The sequence below is a fragment of the Homo sapiens genome, chromosome 2 (genome assembly GCF_000001405.40).
Source record: "Homo sapiens chromosome 2, GRCh38.p14 Primary Assembly".
Taxonomy (NCBI): Eukaryota; Metazoa; Chordata; class Mammalia; order Primates; family Hominidae; genus Homo; species Homo sapiens.
The window spans coordinates 42,631,384-42,655,446 of record NC_000002.12 but is presented as its reverse complement, the minus strand read 5'-3'; the positions used below and the strand labels follow the sequence as shown (position 1 = coordinate 42,655,446).

Below are 24,063 nucleotides of genomic sequence, written 5' to 3'. Positions count from 1 at the left end.
GCACTTCTGCTAAGAACTAAAGGGTACGAATGCACCAGCAGGGGAAGATTTTTTAAAAAAGAAATGAGAACATGAACAAAGTCATGGGGCATTAAAATGTCATAGAAAAGTAGCTCATAATGTCTGGAGTACTTTATGGAATGAGAGAAGATAGCTAAGAGAAGTGGGTTATGAACACATTACTGAAGATCCTACATAGATGTTTTTCGAAGAGACTTTATTTGGAGGTAATGAGAAGCCCTTGATTTTTCTGGTAAGGGAGTGACAAGAGCAGAACTAAACTTCAACTTTCAAAGCTAGTCATGGTTTATAATTTCCTCTGCAGAGATACCTGATAAGGAGAGAGAGAGACATAGCAGCCTCCTTTAAGAGTTCCTTCACAAGTAATGAGGGGCTGAAACATGGTTATGAGATTGGTAATAGAACACAAAGAAAGGAGATTTGGGAATGTCAGTGACAGACTGGATGTAGAGTGTAGATTTCAAGTTTTGTGAGCTGTACTCACAGCGTTGGCATTAGTAGAAAGAAGGAGGCTGGGTGTGGTGGCTCACACCTATAATCCCAGCACTTTGGGAAGCTGGGGCAGGAGGATTACTTGAGACCAGAAGTTCAAGACCAACCTGGGCAACACAGTGAGACTCCAACTCTACAAAAAATAAATAAAATTAGCCATGTGTTGTGGCATATGCCTGTAGTTATAACTACTCAGGAAGCTGAGGTGGAAAGGCTGCTTCAGCCCAGGAGGTTGAAGCTGTAGTGAGCCATAATCATACCACGGCATTCCAGCCTGGGTGTCACAAAACAAAACAAAAAAGATACACAAACAGGAAGTAAGGGCCAAGAGAAGACTGACAATAATGCTGAATGCTTTGCTTTAGAATGTCTCACAAAGGGATAACTATTGAACAAGAGTCAATGTTAGGACAAATGATTGTAATGAAAAGTTGGGAGCCAATGGAATTTTGATTTATAGCTATAGATTCTTACTAGAATAAAAGCTCTTTAATGATAGGGACTGCTTTGGCTTTGTTTTGCTTTTGATCACTGCATCTGTAACATTAGGCTTGCAACGGCTGACATAATACTCTGAAGCCAACCATTCCCCAGTGACTGACAAACCCAGGCTATGGGCCGCCTAGTATAGGAGCAAGCAGGTATCAATGGAAAGGAGAGGACAGAAGCAGGCATTCCATCTGCAGCCTCTTAAGTCAGGCCACTGTTGTTAGGTTAAAGACCTGCCCATTCTGTCCCTGGTTCAAAGGCAGGTAACCAGAGAGCCAACTGCCAACCCCAATATAAAATGACATAAACAGAGTAGAGCAGAGCTAGTACTAGGCCAAAAAGATCTAAGGTTTGAAAGGACTTCATTCTTTGTTTTGTTTACAATTCTTAGCATGCCAAGACAAGACACTCAACATTAGGTTCATTTTTAAAGACCAGTTAAAAATCAAACAGTTGCAAGCCACATGAAACCTGAGAATGGAGAATGACACAATTAACCTGCCTGTGTCTTTTTAAAAATAATTTAAATAAGGATAGATAGTAGTGGTAAAACATTTGAAATCTACATTTTAAATAACACACAAGAAATGATGTTGCTATTCAGTCTTAAGCCCCTTCTGTTGTATACTCCTGAACGTAAGACTACAATTGATGTTTATTTTTCAAATTCAAGTCAGTTAAATTGACAAATTTTAATTCCACCCATACAGTCTGCAGCATATAGCAGAAGTAAGACTTAGAAGAATTCTAAATAAATTCACTGTAAACAATAATAAAACACTCTTGAAAGCATTTAAACTAACACCAAAAACACAGACAACCATAGGCTGAGAAGAAAAATAGCAAGAACAAAAAATAAATATAGAAATTCTCTATATCAAACGATCATTTCAAACTAAGAGGAGATTCCCATTTTGAACAGACCAAATAATTACATTCATATCAGTTTGATCACTTCTTCACATGGAAAAAACTTTTAAAAAGCTCTTGAATTAACTTATTTAGAATTTTTATAATTAAGTTTTTTTCAGCTACGCTAGCAGCAATCTTTGGAATGGCCCTGGTAACAAAGGAATGAGCCAAAAACTGAACAAAGATTAATTCCATGTTAATGTTCATTCCAGTCTTTATAATAATCTCCCCTTCCTCCTCCACGTATGATAATCTGGGCAATTCCAATCTGCTCAAGTGCCGTATCATCAAAAAACACAGACCATGACGATCTCCCCTAACCTCTAAATTCCTACAAATGTATTTCCCAACTAAATGTGTGATTGTATACAGCTTCCTATTTTTGCTTCGTTTAATTGTGAAGAAATGTAGACCCAGCAACTATTTTAAATGTTAGCCCTAACCCTCCAGTTATATTTTTAAATCTCTACAAAATACTGACAAAGTACTTCTTAAGAATTTTGAGCACAGTGTTGTTCAAATACTCTGAAGAACTAAGGATTCCTAAAGGCCCTTTCCTAGGCAATTTGAAACATTCTTTGTTCCAAATACAATAACGTTTTCTTTGCACCAGTCATCAGAGTACTATACTTTTTATATTATATGTAATTCAGGAACACACAAGGATGTCTTTTATCACCATTTTTGCTCAATATTGTCCTGAAAGTTCTGGCCAACATATTAAGTTATGAATCAAAAGAATAACAAGTTACTATAATTTTTTAAAGTCACATTCATTTTGACAATAAAAATATAAAACACTAGGAAATAAAATTGGAGATTTTATATAAAGAAATTTCAAAATTTTCAAAAGAAGATCAGATGATTTGAGTAAATAAAAAAGCAAGGCCAGGGTGCAGTGGCTCACATCTGTAACCCCAGCACTTTGGGAAGCCAAGGTAGGAGGATCATTTGAGGCCAGGAGTTTAAGAGCAGCCTGGTCAACACAGGGAGACCCACTCTCTACTTCTAAAATAAAAATCAAGAAGTGAGGTAAAACCAGAATATTTCACCTCAAAATATACTTCTTCGGTATATTTCCAGATGGCTATTCTGAGATCAATAAACACAACAAGATTACCCAGCCCTGAAAGGCTGTCTTTTACGTGGGGGGATGGGGGGAGATCTGCATATGTAGAGGAAATCTACGTTAGTGAAGTAAACCGCAAATGCAAACAGGATTTCTCTGAGGCCCCTTTAAATGAATCTAAGAAAGACTAACTTACAGGAAAAAGAGACCAAAGATCTGACATAGACACTTCATCCCAAGCTACACCTTTCTGAAGGCAGCTTGGAGATTACCTCGAAGGTTCATCCACGTAACAAGGCAGCCATGCAACCTTTGCTAACCCTGCTCTCCTGTAACCTGTGTCACTAACTCCCTTCACCCTACTCTTTTTTTTCTTTTTTTTCTTGTTGCCCACCCTGGAGTGCAATGCCGTGATCTTGGCTCACTGCAACTTCCACCTCCCGGGTTCAAGTCATTCTCCTGCCTCAGCCTCCCGAAGTAGCTGGGATTACAGGTGCCCACCACCATGACCAGCTAATTTTTTTGTATTTTTAGTTGAGACGGGGTTTCACCATGTTGGCCAGGCTAGTCTTGAACTCCTGACCTCAGGCGATCCACCCAACTCGGCCTCCCAAAGTGCTGGGATTACGAGTGAGCCACCATGCCCAGCCTCTTTTTTTTTTTTGAGACAAGGTCTCGCTCTGTCACCCAGGCTGGAGTACAGTGGCGGACAACCACAGCTCACTGCAGCTTCAATCTCCTGGGCTTATGTGATTCTCCGGCCTCAGCCTCCCAAAATAGCTGGGCCTACAGGCACGCACCACCATGCCCAGCTAATTTTTTGTATTTTTAGTAGAGATGGAGTTTCACCATGTTGGCCAGGCTGGTCTCGAATTCCTGACCTCAAGTCATCCGCCAGCCTCAGCCTTCCAATTCCTAAGCACTGGGATTACAAGCATGAGCCACCATGCCCAGCACCAATTGCCTATTCTTTTGGTAACCTCAGGATGGCAGTATTAAAAACTTCCATCATCTGGCTCTTCTTTGAGTCTCACAGTGTTTATATTTAAGTGTTTTTATAGAAGAGTCAAAAAGTTAAAAAAATAAATAAAGTTGAGCAAGCTAATTTATTACTGAAGATAATTTTTAAATAAAATTAGTATAGCCTAAGTGTACAGTGTTTATAAAGTCTACAGTAATGTCCTAGTCCTTCACATCCACGTACCACTCACTCACTGACTCACCCAAAGCAACTTCCAGTGCTGCAAGCTCCATTCACAGTAAGTGCCCTACACAGTGGGTGCACCACTTATTATCTTTTTACTGTATTTTTACAATACCTTTTCTATACTTAGATATGTTTAGATACACAATACTTACTATTGTGTTATAATTCCCTACAGTATTCAGTATAGTAACATGCTGTACAGGTTTGTAGCCTGGGAGCAATAGACTATACCATATAGCCTGGGTGTTTAGTAAGCTGCACCTATCTAGGTTTGTGGAATTACGCTCTATGATGTTGGCACAGCAATGAAATCACCTAAGGACACATTTATCAGAATGTATTGCTGTCATTAGGTGATGCATGGCCACAAAAGAATTAGTTCTGGAAGTAGATATAAAATGTTTTGAATATCTACAAATTAAATAGTTCTAAAATAAGGGAAAGGATTAACTCAACTGGATAAGATTACAATATATGGCAACAGTAATCAAAACAATGTTGTATGTACTACCATAAAAACAAACACAATCAAGGGTGCGGTGGCTCATGCCTGTAATCCCAGCACTTTGGGAGGCTGAGGCGGGCAGATCACGACGTCAGGAGATTGAGACCATCCTTGAAACCCCGTCTCTACTAAAAATACAAAAAAATTAGCCGGGCTTGGTGGTGGGCACCTGTAGTCCCAGCTACTCAGGAGGCTGAGGCAGGAAAATGGCGTGAACCCGGGAGGCGGAGCTTGCAGTGAACCGAGATCGTGCCACTGCACTCCAGCCTGGGTGACAGAGTAAGACTCCGTCTCAAAAAAAACCAAAAAAACAAAAAAACCCCAAACAAACACAATCAAATGTACAGAAATAGACCAGACCATATAATCATTTATATTTGAAAATGTACATAGTATTATAATTATGTAAATATTAGCTAACATTTATTGAAAAGTTACTATGTTCCTATAAATTTTTCATACCTGGCCTCTCTCTCCACTAGGTGCCCCTTCCCACCTCTACCCCCTCTACCAGACGTGACAACTAAAATGTCTACATATTGTCTAATTCTCCTGGAGGACAAAATTGCCCTATGGCTGAAAATTCCTATTTTATATGATGGCAATCAATACCTGCTTAAACAATTCTTACGGGTCAGTGTTTCTAAGTTAACGACTATCCACTACATTGTTAAGAAGTTCATATTCTGCAAAACTACCAATTGAAGGTAATAGAGTTTATGAAAAAATAGGATAAAACTCTCAAAACCTAGGAGAGTTGGTAACCAGAGCATTCCAAAAAAAAGTAACAATCATAATAAAACAGTTAAATCTCTATTGCCATTTGCGCCAAGCATAAAGGTCCGCTGATCTTTTATCTCCTTAAACCCTGGACTCATGCTTCTTCCACTGAGCTGTAGGTCCCTTTTTACAGCTTCAAATAAATTAAAAATCGAATGCAGAATGTAATTTTTCCCCCAAACACTGAAGGAAATATCTTCAGAGTCTCTTCATCTGTAACTCAAAGCTTCCCATAAAGTTGTAACACAGTGGAAAGTGCCTCAGATTTTCAGACCACAAAATCAGCCACTGCTTAAATCAAAGGAAGGCACTTTTGTAAAAATTTCCACTTGCTCTTTCTTAAACTCTCCTTATCTGTGAGAACACTTGTTTCCCTTATTGCTGGGGAAAGCCACATATGAACTGACACAATTTTCACTCTATACTAACATTTTCCTATTTGCCAACAGAACATGAGTTAATACAAGTTTTAAGTGCATACAATATAACAAAAGATATACTATTTTAATTCTTTAACACTCAAAGAGTGTGACTGGTGATAACAGCTTTTTTTTTTTTGGAGAGGGAGTCACACTCTGTCACCCATGCTGGAGTGCAGTGGTACGATCTTGGCTCACTGCAACCTCTGCTCACTGCAACCTCTGCCTCCTGGGTTCAAGCAATTCTCCTGCCTCAGCCTCCCGAGTAGCTGAGATTACAGGCACCCGCCACCACACTCGGCTAATTTTTGTATTTTTTAGTAGAGATGGGGTTTCACCGTGGTTGGTCAAACTGGTCTCGAACTCCTGACCTCAAATGATCTGCCGGCCTCAGCCTCCCAAAGTGCTGGGATTACAGGAGTGAGCCACCACACCCGGCCGATAACAGCTATTAAATGAGTGGTACTAGAGGCCAGGGGGAGAAGACTGTAACAGCTGGGCGCTGTGCTAACTGCATGACAAGAATTACCTCATTTGCTCATCGCAACGATATAATGTATTACATACACTATCATTCCCTGTTTAAAGAGAAAGAAACAGGAACTTGGAGGGGTTAATCATTTCCCCAAGGTTACTCAATTAAAACATAGTATAGTCAGGATTACCCAAACTTGTGAACCTAGAGTCATTTTCGTTTAATAATTTAAGGTTTTCATAACATACTTTAACAGTTAAAATTTAAATTTAATATGTAGAACAAATTTTTCTTAAAATTCCAATGTTATAATAATACATTTAAACAATGACTCAAAACTTCTCTTTTATGGAAAATTTTCTAGGTGGTTTATTCAAACTCAGTGAAAGATGTAAAATCTAAAAGACGCCTTTACTTTCATTTGTAAACTACATACTCTTTTCAGATCTCTAGAGTTTGTTAGGTGATGGGTAGCCATAAATGAATTTAAAAATCGAAAAGCCACAAAAAGATTTATTCCCTAGCAAGACAAATGCTGCAACAATCTCTCAGTATCCTATCCATCAAGACATGTTCACAAAGAAAGCAAGCCTGTAACATATCCTGGCAGAGTGCTGCTGCTGCCACCTACCCAAGATATTAATTCCAGTTCTACATTCCATGCCAATGCAAATTAGAATCTGGCCACTGGTGGAAATGTACCCACTCAGGAGTACTAAAAGGGTTAGGAAGAATGGATTCCAGCAAATCCTAAACATCTGTTCTTGAATATGATATGTCCTACTATTTAACTTCCCTGCAATCAGGTACTAGCTACATATGGGAGTTTCTGTGATGGCAATGACCATGTTTTTCAAGTGTGGTTAATTACTGGTATACCTACTGGTATCCCCACTCCTTCCCCCCTAAAAAAATAGTCATTAGAAAAAAGAAGGGTGGCTGGGTGCAGAGGCTCATGCCTGTAATCCCAGCACCTTGGGAGGCCAAGGCAGGTGGATCACCTGAGGTCAGGAGTTCAAGACCAGCCTGGCCAACACGGCGAAACCCTGTCCCTGCTAAAAATACAAAAGTTAGCTGGGTGTGGTGGCAGGCACCTGTAATCCCAGCCACTTGGGAGGCTGATGCAGGAGAAAATTGCTTGAACTTGGGAGGCGGAGGTTGCAATGAGCCGAGATCACGCCACCGCACTCCAGCCTGGGCAACAAGAGCGAAACTCCATTTCAAAAAAAAGAAGAGTTCTTTAAACCTTGCATCTACTCAGTTGCCTGATTACAAGTGAAAAGAAACATTCTGCATATGCTTTAATGCTTCAGGCTGAAATAAGAGTTCAAAATGGCTTCTACATTTATGATGAAAAATACAGTATTTTTCAATAAAATCGATAAATCTGTTGTTTTTGTTAGAGATGAATACTTAACAAAGAAAACTACCAAGTTATAAAATGTAAAAATAAATACCCAGAAGTAGCCTTGAAGAAAGGAAAGGCATTCCTTGTTTCTGGTTAAAACATTCCAAGACTGCTGGCAGTGGGAGGCGGGGTGGGAGGCAGGTGGGGTGGGGGGATGGCACACACCTGTAATCCCAGCACTTTGGGAGGCCAAGGTGGACAGATCGCTTGAAGTCAGGACTTCAAGACCAGCCTGGCCAACATGGCAAAACCCCATCTCTAATAAAAATACAAAAAAAATTAGCTGGGCATGGTGGCACATGCCTGTAATCCCAGCTACTCGAGAGGTCGAGGCACAGGAATCGTTTGAACCCAGGAGGCGGAAGCTGCAGTGAGCCAAGATTGTGCCACTGCACTTCAGCCTGGGCAACAGAGCGAGACTCTGTCTCTAAAAAAAAGTTTTTCTCTGTAGCATGTGATGCTCAATAGCATTTTACCTATGGTAGACTTCCTTTCTTTTTTGTTTTTTTTTTTTAGACAGAGTCTCACTCTGTCACCCAGGCTGGAGTGCAGTGGCGCGATCTCGGCTCACTGCAACCTCCGCCTCCTGGGTTCCACGCCATTCTCCTGCCTCAGCCTCCCGAGTAGCTGGGACTATAGGCGCCCGCCACCACGCCCGGCTAATTTTTTGTATTTTTAGTAGAGACGAGGTTTCACCATGTTAGCCAGGATGGTCTCGATCGCCTGACCTCGTGATCCGCCTGCCTCGACCTCCCAAAGTGCTGGGATTACAGGCGTGTGCCACCGTGCTCAGCCAGTAGACTTCTTTCAAAAACAGAGACAACCCTCTCAAACCCTGCCACTGCTTTGCCAACTAAGTTTATATAATATTCCAAATCCTTCGTTGCCATTTCAACAGTGTTCACAGCATCTTCACCAGGAGTAGATTCCATCTCAAGAAACCACTTTCTTTGCTCATCCATAAGAATCGACTACTCACTCATCCAAGTTTTACCACAAGATTGCAGCAATTCAGTCAGTCACATCCTCAGGGCCCACGCTCACTGTAGTTTTCTTGCATATTATATCCACCATAACTACAGTTACTTCCACCACTGAAGTCGTAAACCCTTCAAAGTTATCCACGAGTGTTGGAATCAACTTCTTCTAAACTCCTCTTAATGTTAATATTTTGACCTCCTCCTATCAATTACAGTTGTTGTTACTGGCATCTAGAACGGAGAATTCTTTCCAGAAGGTTTTCGATTGACTACTCAGATCCATCAGAGGAATCATTATCTATGGCAAGTATAGCCTTAGGTGATGTTATTTCTTAATAATAAAATGTGAAAGTCAAAATTTCTCCTTGATCCATAGACTCCAGAATGGATGTTGTCTCAGCAGTCATGCAAACAACATTCACCTCCTTGTACATCCCCATCAGAGCTCTTGGGTGAAGGGGAGCATTATCAATGAGCAGTTTTTGAAAAGAATTTTTAAAGGAATCCTTTTTCCTAAGCAGTAGGTCTCAACAGTGAGCTTAAAATATTCAGTAAACCATACTGTAAATAGAGGTGCTGTCATTTAGGCTTTGTTGTTCTATTTACAGGACACAGGCAGAGCAGATTTAGTGTAATTCTTAAGAGGTCTGGGATTTTTGGAATGGTAAACGAGGATTGGCTTCAAGTCACCAGCTACATTAGTCACTAATCAGAGAGTCAGGCTGTCCTTTGAAGCTTCTAGCTATGAAAGTCCTAGATGGCATCTTCTTCCAATAGAAAGCTGTTTTATCTACATTGAAACTCTGTTGTTCAGAGTAGCAGCCTTCATCAGTGACCTTAGCTAGTTTTGGATAACGTGCTGCAGCTTCTACATCAGCACTTGCTGCTTTACTTGCATTTTTATGTTATGATGAAGAATTTTTTCCTTAAACCCCATGACCCAACCTCTGCTGGCTTCAAATTCTTCTTCTCCAGCTTCCTCACCTCTCAGTCTTCACAGAATTGAAGAGACTTAGGGCCCTGCTCTGGATTAGGCTTTGGTTTAAAGGAATGTTCTTGGTGGTTTGATATTCTATCTACGCCACTAAGACTTTCTCCATGGTATCAGCAGTAAAGCAGTAAGGCTGTTTTGTTTGTTTGTTTGTTTGTTTGTTTGTTTGTTTTTTAGACAAAGTCTCACTCTGTTGCCCAAGCTGGAGTGCAGTGGCACAATCTTGGCTCACTCCAACCTCTGCCTCCGAGGTTCAAAGGATTCTCTTGCCTCAGCCTCCCGAGTAGTTGGGAATACAGGCACACACCATCACACTTGGCTAGTTTTTGTATTTTTAGTAGAGATGGCATTTCACCATGTTGGCCAGGCTGGTCTCGAACTCCTGGTCTCAAGTAATCCACCTGCTGCGGCCCCTCAAAGTGCTGGGATTAAAGGCATGAGCCACTGCACCCAGCCTGTTTTGCTTTTTTTTATCATTCATGTGTGTTCACTGGTGTAGCTTTTTTTTTTTTTTTTTTTTTTTGAGACAGAGTCTCACTCTGTCACCCAGGCTGGAGTGTGGAGTAGCACTTTTAATTTCCTTCAAGAACTTTTCCTTTGCATTCACAACTTGGCTAACTGGGGAAAGAGGCGTGGCTTTTAGCCTATCTTGGCTTCTGACACGCCTTCCTCACTAGCTTCATTTCTTGCTTATGATTTAAAGTGAGAGACATGCTACTTTTCCTTTCACTTGAACACTTACCGGCCACTGCAGGGTTATTAACTGGCTTAAGTTCAATATTGTTGTGTCTCATAAAATAGGGAGACCCCAGGAGAGAGAAAGAGGCAGGGAAGGGACAGTCAGTGGAGCACTCAGAACACACAGCATTTATCAATTCAGTTTATCCTTTCATATGGGTACGGTTCGTGGCCCCAAAAACAATTACAATAGTTACCTCTAAGATCACTGATCACAGATCACTATAACAGATATTATAATAATGAAAAGGTTTGAAATGTTTCAAGAATTACCAAAATTTGACACAGAGACACTGTCCTGTTGGAAAAATGGCACCAAATGACTTACTCAACAGGGTTGCCACAAACCTTCAAATTTTTAAAAAACTAGATATATATGAAGTGCAGTAAAAACAAAGTACATTAAAATGAGGCAATTTTGTAATTCTAAAATTGGAAGTGCTGGCCAGGCCACACCTATAATAGCATCACTTTTGGGAGTCCGAGGTGGGAGGATTGTTTGAGGCCAGGAGATCAAGACCAGCCTTGGCAACATAGCGAGGCCTCATCTCTATTTATTTATTTATTTTTTATTTTTTACAAAGAACAGTAAAATGGCAAGTGCTTATAACTTTTAGACTTTGCCCTGAACATTGCCTCTTCTACATGAGGACATGTATATTTGAGTTTCAAGATATATTTGTTTCACAAAACTGCAAACACGCAGAAAAACGTACCTTCTAACAGCATTTCTGGAATGTCTGCTTGATATCTAGGTCCCACTCTGATTTCACCTTTGTCAGCTAATAGTGTTTTCAATGAGGGGTCATAGACCAATGAGTAGAAGAAGGTATCCTGAAAAATATGACAAAATACATAGGTATACTTAATTCCTTCTACTTCTTATAAAGCATTAAAATCAATGTTGCTACAATGAACATATAAACCCCAGAGAGTATATAAAATTTCATTTTGGTGAATAAACTCATAAATCTTTAAGGAGAGCATGGTGTTACCGTCATCATGTAAAACAGTACAAAATTAAATCAAGCCAAAAGAAACAGCTTGAAACAAAGTAGATTATAAAGTTCTATTATTTGTTTTAGTCTAAAAGAAAACCATTTGCTCTCTAAAGCAGAGTTTCAAGAGCTAGCAAAATTAAACCATAACTCCAAGGTAAGACACCTAAAGTCAAATCATCTTATAAACTTCTGAAGTCCACACCAAACAGAAGGGAAGACTTCACAGATACCAGGTACTCTTACTTTTGTAATGTCCATCCCAGCTTTTAGTCAAAAGATTAAAAAGTATACATATCTCACATTAAACTGCATGAGTTGAACTTACATGTGGTTTACTGTTATAATAATACCACTTTGTAAATATTTAATTAAACATGTATTAACTATAATTCTGCAGTTAAGTACTGAGGCATACATATATATACATATAGACAGATATACAAACATAGCTATATACATGCTCACCAACAGCATACACACCAAAATTTCCAGTCCTCCCTTACAAAGCTCCTATGTCCTTGTTTCTGAGCCTAATGGACAAAATGACCTGGCACCAGTCCTTTGCTGAATTCCGTATAACCACTAGAGATTATCTGAACCAGAAGCAGAAGTCCCATCTTCTGCTTTCCACTACGATCCCAAAGGTTATCGGCTGCCCAGTTCTCTGTATTATATCCTGGAAGGACCTGTCCCTACTACCAGAACTTTACCAAGCCCCAGCAAAGGAAACTGCAAATAAAAGATAATCTGTCAGACAGTAAAAATCTCTCCTATGGGAGTTCTTACATACTGTGATAAGGGGAAAGGGAAAAAAAACAGAGTTATTCCAACCACTGAGAAATTCTGTGCTGTATTTTATTCATTGTTCACTGTCAGGAAAAAAGTTTAAACAAAAAAACTGTTAAAAAAAAAAGGGGGGGGGGGGAGACACCAATATGTGACAGTTTATGCATACTGTTAAAGTGCTATCTAAGGAAAGAAAAAATCTGCAGGAATAGATAAAACAACCAGCTTAGGCCAGGTGCAGTGGCTCATGCCTATAATCCCAGCACTTTGGGAGGCCGAGGCAGGCGGATCACCTGAGGTCAGGACTTCGAGACTAGCCTCGCCAACATGGTGAAATCCCGTCTCTACTAAAAATAGAAAAATCAGCCGGGTGTGGTGGCAGGCACCTGTAATCCCAGCTGCTCAGGAGGCTGAGGCAGGAGAATCACTTGAACACAGGAGGCAGAGGTTGCAGTGAGCCAAGATTGCACCATTGCACTCCAGCCTGGGGGACAAGAGTGAGACTTCATCTCAAAAAAAAAAAAAAAAACCAACTTAACAAAGCTACAGGGGATGATCATTATGTAATCAGAATTGTTTGATTTTTTTGTTTTGCTTTACAGACATGAGTAATAAATATTACTCAGTAACTGAAGTTATTGCCACTGGCTCAACATCAGATTTTGTTTTTCTTTTTTTTTAATAGAGACGACGTCTCACTATGTTGCCTGGGCTGGTCTCAAACTCCTGGGCTCAAGCAATCCTCCTGCCTCAACCTCCCAAAGTGCTGGGATCACAGACATGAGCCCCCACATGAAGCCACCATCAGATTTAAATGCAGAGATACTTCAGTTCACTTTTTATCTGTAAAACCTATTAGCATGGTACTCCAATAAAAACAGGAGCTTGCCATACTCTACAATATAATAAGATGAAATGATTATTTGGGTCATATAAGTTGCTTAAAATCCTTAGATTTCTATGTCCTGATATGGGAAAATATTCAAAATATGTTTGGTTTATAATAGAAGTTGTAAAAAAGAAGAAGAAAAGGTTCCAGATAGGCCAATTTCAAGAACACAGAGTTAAAAGTAAAGGATGATAATTAAAAAGTTATTCTTTGGGTTACCGTCTTTATGCCAATCTCAATATTTTATTTTTAAATTTTTTATATATTTAGGGGGTACAAGTGCAGAGTTCTTATATGCATACATTGTGTCATGGTAAAGTCTGGGCTTTTAGTGTACCCATCACCTGAATAGTGAACAGTGTACCCAATAGGTAATTTTTCAATCCTCATCCCTCTCCAATGTCTATTTTTTTTTTTTAAGACAAGGTCTCACTCTGTCACCCAGACTAGAGGTATAGTAGCGCGATCTCGGCTCACTGCAACCTCCGCCTCCCAGATCCAAGGTATTCTCCTGCCTCAGCCTCCCAAGTAGCTGGGATTACAGGCATGCGCCACCACGCCCGGTTAATTTTTGCATGGCCCAGCTAATTTTTGTATTTTTAGCAGATACAGGCTTTCACCACGTTGGTCAGGCTGGTCTCGAACTCCTGACCTCGTGATCCGCCCACCTCGGCCTCCCAAAGCGCTGGGATCACATGTGTGAGCCACCACGTTCGGCCGAAAAAAAAAAATTTAATACAATGAAATGCATGGAATGTTTTGCCTTTTTCTTTCTGCTTCCGTGAAATAATGCTAATTTCTGGGCATTATCATTATCCATATTATAATCCATCATTCTGTGGGACAGACTAATGACAAAAGCCTATCTAAATTTTACAAAGGTAAGTTATAAAGTCTATTAGCCTTTTTTCTGCTTTGAATATGACTTTTCCTGTTGGTTTTCTTATTTCCTATTAGGTTTTCTAATGTATAGTGGGTTCTGCATGATTGTATCAAACTTTTTCTGTTATATTTTCTTCATTTGAGATAAATGGGCAACACTTGAGTATAAGATTTAAAAAAAAAAAAAAAAAAAACCGGCCAGGCACAGTGGCTCATGCCTCTGATCCCAGCACTTTGGGAGGCTGAGGAAGGCAGATCACCTGAGGCCAGGAGTTGAAGACCAGCCTAGCAAACATGGCAAAACCCCATCTCTACCAAAAACACAAAAATTAGCCGGGTATGGTGGCAGGCACCTATGATCCCAGCTACTCAGGAGGCTGAAGCATGAGAATTGCTTGAACCCGGGAGGCGGAGGTTGCAGTGGGTCAAGATCACGTCACTGCGTTCCAGAATGGGGGACAGAGCAAGACTTTGTCTCCAAAAACTAAAACATACGTATATGTAATAAAGCTTTTGGGGGAGAAGAAAAAAATCATAAAGATTAAATACTGAAGCATCACTGATACTAAAATATGTTTCCCACCATACAAATGATGTTGCTTTAAATGTCACCTAAAACTATGCATACCATGGAATATTCTGCTTATAAAAATTTCCTCCTTTCCATGAAGCGTATGCTCTATCTCAACTTGTTAACTACATTTCTTGTTGAGGTTTAGTGAAAAATATTTTTAACTGACAAAATTTATTAGGATTCCAGAAAGCAGACCACCAAAGGTAAAATCTCATCTGGAAACAGTCTAAAAGAAAAACCATTTATTCAAGAAATAAAAACAAAAACAAAACAGAAAGGGGAGCCAAGCACACTAAAGCATTAATTTCATAAAGTCAAAAATATTCATCTACTATCAACTAAATCCATGTACCATTCTCTATAATGCCATTCATTACCAACTGAAAAACAGACACAGTTTTTGCTCTTATCTCAGATAACCAGAAAAATCAAATTTACCCGAATGCATTCTAGTCACTATACTTTTACTATAATACTGCTATTAATATAATGGTGGAATAATACTTTTGTACAAAAAGAAATAAATTCCAAGGAAAGAGCTTCATGTGAAATAAAGGGAGAAAAAAACAAAACAACTATGATTGTGAATTACCTCCTTATCAAGATATGACAATACTGATTCTGTCTCATTCAGAAGGGCAACACTGCACTTTCCCCTGTTGAAAAAGAAAAAAAGAATAAATGTAACAAAGGCCACCTCACCTTCTCAGTGATGAGAAATACAAAGTTAAGAATGTGAGACTGGTATTAAGAAACTACATGGCAGTTAGGAATATATATTTTTTCAAACCATTTAGACCCACTTTACAATCCTAATGTCAGGTAACTTATAAAATAAGGCTGTCTTTATAGGCATTTCTTGAGAGGCTAGCCTGTTGGAGTAATTGTGTTAGGCAATAAATCCTAATATGCAATACTTTATAGGTAGTTTCTACTTATTCAAGAAAAAAAAAGAGTACAATGAGAACTTCAGACTAAGAGTCAGTTTCTGAACCTATAAATAGATATTATGAGGTAATTTTATAAAAGGGATGTTCAGACAAAGACACCACCACACAAACCAATGGCTAAATAATATTCAGATTTTTATGAGCAGCCACTAACTACATTTAAGAACCTAAAAATAATACACATTCATATCAGGATATAACTAATTCATCTATATTGAAATTACTCTAAAAACTAGTTAAAATTTAAACACAAGGAGCCTTCTATAGAGCAAGGGGCAAAATAAACATCGACAGATCCACGGACCTTGAGGTCTGACAGCACTTACATTTGATCTGAGCTTGGAAACTAACGTCTGTTTTTATAAGGCTTGTCTAGACTCTGAGAAAAACTGAGGTTATGTAGGTAGAGGCATTTATTACGAGCACTTTCAAAATGACCCTAACTAGCCTAAAAAAATCCGTATAACTAATAGAAATCTGACAGGAGCATTTTGAAGATTATTCAAGTTACAAATACTGGTCAGGGCTCACACAATGTTTCTTTAAAATGTCGTAAGATCATTTGATTTTCTAAACAAAAATTAAGACATCTCCAAAAGCCAACATGCAAAAACAAATATATCACATATATATTAAATAAGAAGCTAGAAATTCGTGGGGTATGGTAGCACATGCCTGTAATCCCAGCTACTCAGGGGGCTGAGGCAGGAGAATCGCTTGAACCCCAGAGGCAGAGGTTGCAGTGAGCCGAGATCGTGCCACTGCACTCCAGCCCGGGCGACAGAGCAAGACTCCGCCTCAAAAAAAAAAAAAAAGAAAGAAAGAAAGCAAGCTAGAAAAGCTTGCTGTTGGATCACCAGAGTGAAATACAATTCAAAGAAAAAAATTACCAAGAGCAAAATAAAATACTAAAAGTGCTAACACATTGGTCAAAACAGCTTGCTAAACATTTTGCAACTATATACTCTTTAAATTAAAAAAAAAAAAAACCCCTTATAAAAATGTCTTTTTCTGGTGATCACTGTAGGTTAGAAAGCTTTCTTTGAGAGCATGTGGTATTTCCACACTATCCTGTCAAATCTCTAACGTGGTTACTGGAAGTGTTTATAAAGGTTTTCTTTTTTTCTAACATATTTTATTCAAGTAGATTAGTGAAGCAAAAAAAAAAAAAAATTAACATCACTTTAGCACACATAACAACACTGAAAAGACAACAATTGTGCCCAGCTCACACCTGTAATCTCAGCACTTTGGGAGGCCGAGGTAGAAGAATCGCTTGAGCCCAGGAGTTTGAGACCAGGCTACACAGCAAGATCTCAACTCTACTGAAAATTAAAAAAAATAAAATAAGCAGGGCATAGTCCCAGCTACTCGCGGTTGGGGGACTGCTTGAGCCCAGGAGGTCTAGGGTGCACTGAGCTGTATTTGCACCACTGAACTCCAGCCTGGGCAAAAGAGCAAGACCCTGTCTCAAAAAAAAAAAAGAAAAGGTAACAATTATCTGACATGTTCTCATAACGGACAGAATTGCAACTAGGGAAATTGCTCTGCTGCCGTTAGCACATCGACAGCTGCCACAGAATATCTATGACCTGTGAATATGTGCTCACACATGCAATATGCTTAATAAATGAGGTTTCTAAAAATAGTTTTCACTTACTTTTTCCCCTCATTAACAGCTGACAAAGCAATATTTCTAACATTTGATACTCAATCACCTAGAAAAAAAAATCCCCCTTTTTAAAAAAATAAGTTCTCTAAAGTCAGATTTGCTTGTTTTAATGGGGAGGAGTAAAACCTGCTAAATTTTATTTTAATAGGTACTTTTTTTTAAGGCTAGTCAACTGAAACAGTGATAGTGGAGAAGAAAAAAAGAAATCTGTAACTGGTTATAAACACTACTGCACTATGCCCAGCCAATACCACTGTCTTTAATAGTCCCTTGACTTTTAAGGGTTAACGGACACTGAAAATTCAAACAAACAATATAGCATACTTTAAAAGTCTCTTCCATATGGTCTGAAATAAAAGATTTTAAATTATAAAACCTTTATTTTCATAATTATATTAGGAAATAAGGAAACACAGGTTATAATGAAGTACAAATTGTTTTTGGAAATGCAGTTTTTATACAAAGATGAAAGGATAATAAGTGATCTAAGTTTTAAATTTTTCTTTAATATAGCTATATTGTACATCTCCCCAAATTAAAAATGAAAATCTAACATTTACAATTTTCATGTACATACATTAACAGCTAAGAGGTTGAGTCAGAATTATTTTATGAAGTAAATATGAATATGTAATTAACACATATATTACCATGCCAAGAGTTGTTGATAAAAGTGGTTTAAAAAGAGATTTAAAGCGTTAGTTTCCTTTATGCCAAACAAATCTTGGCTCATAGATAAAAACATGGTAAATTTTAAGCTAACCCCAACCTAAAGGAACTATTATCAAATTCCGTATACAGATACCATAGGCAATTTATACTGAGTCTCAAGCAATGAACCTAATCATGTGTCATGTACGATATTTTAATCCTTAAATAATAAAGATGCCCAAGCATGATATGAAGTGTATCAAAGACCACAACACAAAGATCACTCCAGGCCCATATAATCACTCGTACTACTTTTCTACACAGAACCACAAAGGAGTACAGAATTGCTATAAAGAAAACCTACTTTCCCACAGGTCACTGAAAAGGTTTTCAAAGTATAATCTGTTTCAGAGACTGCGCAGGGTGCTGGGACACAAAGACATGTGAATAAATAATTACGACAAAACAAAGTCACACGTTCAACAGCAGGCGCTGATCAGCCTGGAATCTGCTACTTGCTTAATGGTATGTCCCATATAATCCTACAGACTGAAAAACGTAAAAATGTGCATACAGGTTATATATTTCTTTTATCTAAAGCTAGTACATATTTGTATAAATGAAAGAGGAGGGCCAGGCGCAGTGGCTCATGCCTATGATCCCAGCACTTTGGGAGGCCGATGCGGGCGGGTCACGAGGTCAGGAGTTCGAGACCAGCCTGGCCAATACGGTGAAGCCCTGTCTCTACTAAAAACACAAAAATTAGCTGGGAGTGGTAGCACACGCCTGTAGTCCCAGCTACTCTGGAGGCTGAGGCAGGAGAATGGCTTGAACCTGGGAGCCGGAGGTTGCAGTGAGCCGAGATCGCACCACTGCACTCCAGCCTGGTGACAGGGCGAAACCCCGTCTCAAAAAAAAAAAAAAAAAAAGAAAGAAAGAGAAAGAAGTTTAAATTAGTGATCATTTACCCCCTGCCTGTAGACTTTCTTCTTTTGTTTTGTTTTGTTTTGTTTTGAGAAAGGGTCTAGCTCTGTCACCCAGGCTGGAGTGCAGCGGCATAATCACAGTTCACTGCAGCCTCAACCTCCTGGACTCAATCAATCCTCCCACCTCAGCCTCCCCAGTAGCTGGGACTACAGGTGTGTGCCACACGCAGAGCTAATTTTTTTTAAATTCTTTGTAGAGATAGAGTTTTGCTATGTTTCCCAGGCTGCTCTCAAACTCCCTGGCTCAAGCGATCCTCCCACCTTGGCCTCCCAAAGGCTGGGATTATAGACATGAGCCACCACACTTGGCCCAAACTTTCTTTTACCTTGATACAACTTGAAGCGGGGACTACCCACTTAGAAAAGTGCAGATATCTTAGTGCTGTACCAGACTTACTGAATTTCAATGTCTTGGGATGGGTCCAGGAATCTACATGATTAACAAACATCACCAAGTTTAGTGAACTTTTTTAAGTTCACTAAACTTAAAAAACCATTCCTGGCCCGGCGCCGTGGCTCACGCCTGTAATCCTAGCATTCTATAAGGCTGAGGCGGGCAGATTGCCTGAGCTCAGGTATAGTTCAAGACCAGCCTGGGCAACATGGTGAAACTCCATCTCTACTAAAATATAAAAAATTAGCTGGGTGTGGTGGTGCACGCCTGTAATCCCAGCTACTGCGGAGGCTGTGGCACAAGAACTGCTTGAACCTGGGAGAAGGAGGTGCAGTGAGCCAAGATCATGCCACTGCACTCGAGCCTGGGTGACAGAGTGAAATTCTGTCTTGGGAAAAAAAAACAGAAAAATTCCTATAGATGCAGAGTTTGACATTAAACTTGCCTTGTTCAACAAACAGTATTATTGCTTCATTAAAGAAAGACATTTTTTTATTGACTTTACAAGTCTTACATTTGCCACAAACTCTAGATTCTTTTTTTTTTGAGATAGAGTCTCGCTCTGTTGCCCAGGCTGGAGTGCAAGTGGTGTGATCTTATCCTTACTGCAGCCTCCATCTCCTGGGTTCAAGTGATTCTGCTGACTCAGCCTCTCAACTAGCTGGGATTACAGATGCCCACCATCACACCCAGCTCATTTTTGTATTTTTAGTAAAGACGGGGTTTCACCATGTTGGTCAGGCTGGTCTCGAACTCCTAATTTCAGGTGATCCACCCGCCTCGGCCTCCCAAAATGCTGGGATTACAGACATGAGCCACTTTGCCCGGCCCAAGTTACAGATTCTTAATATTTCTTTGTATAAAGAACAGTGTCAAAATATTAGGTTCTGGGATTGGTAAATCAGTGAGTAGACAGTTTTGACAGCATTTAACACAATGAACACAATGAACAATCAAATAAAAAAATAAAGATCAGAGATGCAAAATGCTTTCAGAAGACTAGATTTCTCAACAGCAACCGCATAAAACAGAATAGCACAGATTCAAAATTCTGAGAGAAGTGATTTCCAAACCAAAATTCTATGTCTAAACAAATCATTGGCCAAGTGTGAGAAATATTTTTAGATATATGAGAATAAAAACTTTTACATTTTTAGAAGACTTAATCAAAAGGCAAAGGTAAAACAATGATAAACTCCATGGAAAACAAAAGTTTATACAAGAAAGAATACATAATACTGACATGTTCATAAAACACAAAGACTGTTTACTAAGTTAAATAAAAGTTGTGATAATATTAGAAACAGATGGCAAAGGGAATAGGGAAGAGAGAAGTAAAGGTAAATTCCTAAAACTGAAAAATTAATAGTAGGAATATAAGAACAGTATAAATGCCAGAAGCCACCATCGAGAGGAGTTGAAAATGACTACAGAGTTGGAACCAAGCAAATGACTGCCTTGGATATTATTAGACAGCCATATCCATACACTTTTAAAAAAATAACAAAATTTAAATTTAAAATGAAAGGGGGTGATATGGTTTGGCTCTGTGTCCCCACCCAAATCTCATCTTGAATTGTGATCCCCATAATCCTCACGTGTCGAGGGAGGGACCTAGTGGGTGGTGATTGGATCACGGGGGCAGTTTCATGATAGTGAGTTCTCACATGATCTGACGGTTTTATACATGTTTGACAGTTCCTCCTTCTCCTTCTCTCGCCTGCTGCCAAGTAAGACATGCCTGCTTCCCCTTCCACCATGATTGTAAGTTGCCTGAGTCTTCCCCAGCCATGCAGAACTGTGAATCAATTAAAAGTCTTTTCCTTACAAATTACCCAGTCTCGGGTAGTTCTATAGCAGTGTGAGAATAGACTAATAAAGAGAAATCCTAATTAAAATACCTAATTAAAATACATAAATTTCCATGACTACCACACCAAGGGAGCAAGGATTATGTACAATGACTCTATATATCAGGTTTTCTCAACCTCGGCACCACTGGTGGACATTTTGGGCCAGATAATTTTTTGTTGTGGAGGCTGTCTCATGCACTACAGGATGTTGAGCAGCATCCCTGGCCTCTCTGCAGTGGATGACAGTAGCACCCCCTCATCCATTTGTTAGAGCCAAACTGTCCAAATTGTCAAAGGTCCCTGGGATACAATATCACTCCCGGTTGAGAATCACTGTTCTACATTAAGAAAACTATGGTTTTCTTAATTATATCTTGGTAACAAACATTTAAGATTGCATATATTAAGTGAAAGAATATGTTTTTTTTTTTTTTGAGACAGAGTCTCGCTCTGTCGCCCAGGTTGGAGTGCAGTGGCGCGGTCTCGGCTCACTGCAAGCTCCGCCTCCCGGGTACACGCCATTCTCCTGCCTCAGCCTCCAGCTGGGACTACAGGCGCCCGCCACCACGGCCGGCTAACTTTTTTTTGTATTTTTAGTAGAGACGGGGTTTCACTGTGTTAGCCAGGATGGTCTCGATCTCCTGACCTTGTGATCCGCCCGCCTCGGCCTCCCAAAGTGCTGGGATTACAGGCATGAGCCACCGCGCCCAGCCAAGAATATGATTTTTAATGGACTTCTTTTTTGAGACAGGATCTCGCTCTGTCACCCAGGTCAGAGTGCAGTGGCGTGATCTCAGCTCACTGCAGCCTCCACCTCCTAGGCTCAAGTGATCCTCCCACCTCAGTTTCCTGAGTAATTGGGACCACAGGCATGAACCACCAGGCCCCGCTAACTTTTGTATTCTTTGTAGAGACAGGGTTTCACCATGTTGCCCAGACTGGTCTAAAACTCCTAGGATCAAGCGATCCTCCTTGGCCCCCCAATTGCTGGGATTACAGGCATGAGCCATCAAACCCGACCCTGGACCTCTGCTTTTTTTTTTTTGAGACAGACTTTCACTCGGTCACCATGCTGGAATACAGTGGTGCGATCTCGGCTCACTGCAACCTCGGCTCACTGCAACCTCTGCCTTCCAGGTTCAAACGATTCTCCTGCCTCAGCCTCCCGAGTAGCTAGGACTACAGGCATGCACCCCCATACCCAGCTAATTTTTGTATTTTTACTAGAGACAGGATTTCACCATGTTGGCCAGGATGGTCTCGAGCTCTTGACCTCATGATCCGCCCACCTCAGCCTCCCAAAGTGCTGGGATTACAGGTGTAAGCCACCATGCCCGACTGTATTTTTTTTTTTTTAAAAAGGAGTACAAAGAGAATTAAATCTGGAAATCTTTAAATATTTCTATTCAAAGATAGATCTTTGAATAGAAGATCTGTTACTAATACTGCTTTAACAGATGCTCACAAATAAAACTTAAAAGAAGCCACACACACACCACCCTGAAACATCTGTTTGTGTGTACACAAAGTAGAGGAATGAAAAGCCAAAAAGAGAAGTTTGGGCTTAATAAAATCGATTAATCTATTTCTGAAGAAAAATGACTGACAAATTATGTTTTGAGATGCCCATTCCATCCATGGGATGTGGAGCATAGCAAAGACACCATAATTCTGAATATTTGATAACAAATATGAAAGAAACTGTCAAGGAGGAATCAAGTAGGAAAAATATCCTTCTCTTGATACCACTCTTCCCTCTTACAGGAGAAAGTGAAATGTTCCAAAAAGTCAATACCTATTGGAAAGATCCTCCTCTCCTGGACAAGATGGCAAATGAATCACTCTGACCACCAGGAAAATCTCTCAGAGGTTCCACAACATATGGAGTACAGTACTTGTGGGGATGGTTAATAAGTACAAAACAGCAGCTGGGGGCTGGGCGCGGTGGCTCAAGCCTGTAATCCCAGCACTTTGGGAGGCCGAGGTGGGCGGATCATGAGGTCAGGAGATCAAGACCATCCTGGCTAACACGGTGAAACCCTGTCTCTACTAAAAATACAAAAAATTAGCCGGGCATGGTGGCGGCCGCCTGTAGAACCCAGCTACTTGGGAGGCTGAGGCAGGAGAATGGCGTGAACCTGGGAGGCAGAGCTTGCAGTGAGCCGAGACTATACCACTGCACTCCAGCCTGGGCGATGAGCAAGACTCCATCTCAAAAAAAAAAAAAAAAACCCAGCAGCTGGGAAGAATGAGTAAGACCTGATATTTGATGGTATCATAGGGTGAATACAGTCAATAATAACTTAATTGTACATTTTTAAATAACTAAAAGAGGCCAGGCCTGGTGGCTCATGCCTGTAATCCCAGCACTTTGGGAGGCCAAGGTGGGTGGGTCACCTGAGGTCAGGAGCTCAAGACCAGCCTGGCCAACATGGTGCTACCCCATCGCTATGACAAATAAAAAAACTAGGCAGGCATGGTGGTGAGCACCTGTAAGCCCAGCTACTTGGGAGGCTGAGGCAGGAGAATCACTTGAACTCAGGAGGTGGAGGTTGCAATGAGCCAAGACTGGATCACTGCACTCCAGCCTGGGTCACTAAGGGAGACTCCGTCTCAAAAAATAATAATAAAATAATAATACAAAATAACTAAAAGAGTATAACTGGATTGTTTGTAACACAAAGTATGAATGCTTGAGGGGACAGATAGCCCATATTTCATGATGTGATTACTATGCATCACATGCCTCTGTCAAAATATATCTTGTACCACATGAATATATACACCTATGTAGCCACAAAAATTGAAAATCAAAAAAAAACACACACACAAGTACTTGAGACAATACATAGGACATACTTTGCATCTAACCCAAATGCTCTTGTGCACTGTGATTCTGGTTGAAGAAAACTACTTCAGCCCTTAAAGGGGTTAAGCAG

General features: G+C 40.0%; 1 protein-coding gene across 6 annotated transcripts in view, besides 2 other annotated features; it reads right to left on the bottom strand.

The window, feature by feature from the left end:
- Window positions 1-24,063, bottom strand: part of MTA3 (metastasis associated 1 family member 3) — a 262,837-nt gene that overhangs the window by 101,500 nt on the left and 137,274 nt on the right. For all 6 annotated transcript variants that reach the window (NM_001282755.2, NM_001282756.2, NM_001330442.2 and 3 more), the window contains 2 exons: window positions 15,211-15,274; window positions 11,203-11,320 (listed from right to left, as the gene is read on the bottom strand). In NM_001282755.2, the coding sequence (NP_001269684.1) occupies window positions 11,203-11,320; window positions 15,211-15,274 (182 nt within the window). The remainder of the gene's footprint in view (window positions 1-11,202; window positions 11,321-15,210; window positions 15,275-24,063) is intronic.
- Window positions 949-1,450: an enhancer, noted in NCBI's record as "NANOG hESC enhancer chr2:42881137-42881638 (GRCh37/hg19 assembly coordinates)". NCBI's record gives its function as "activates a minimal SCP1, AML or CMV promoter by ChIP-STARR-seq in naive H9 embryonic stem cells {active_cell/tissue: H9 hESC(naive)}" and the evidence as "EXISTENCE:reporter gene assay evidence [ECO:0000049][PMID:30033119]".
- Window positions 12,041-12,241: a silencer, noted in NCBI's record as "peak3682 fragment used in MPRA reporter construct". NCBI's record gives its function as "represses an SCP1 promoter by STARR-seq MPRAs in K562 erythroleukemia cells {active_cell/tissue: K562}" and the evidence as "EXISTENCE:reporter gene assay evidence [ECO:0000049][PMID:32103011]".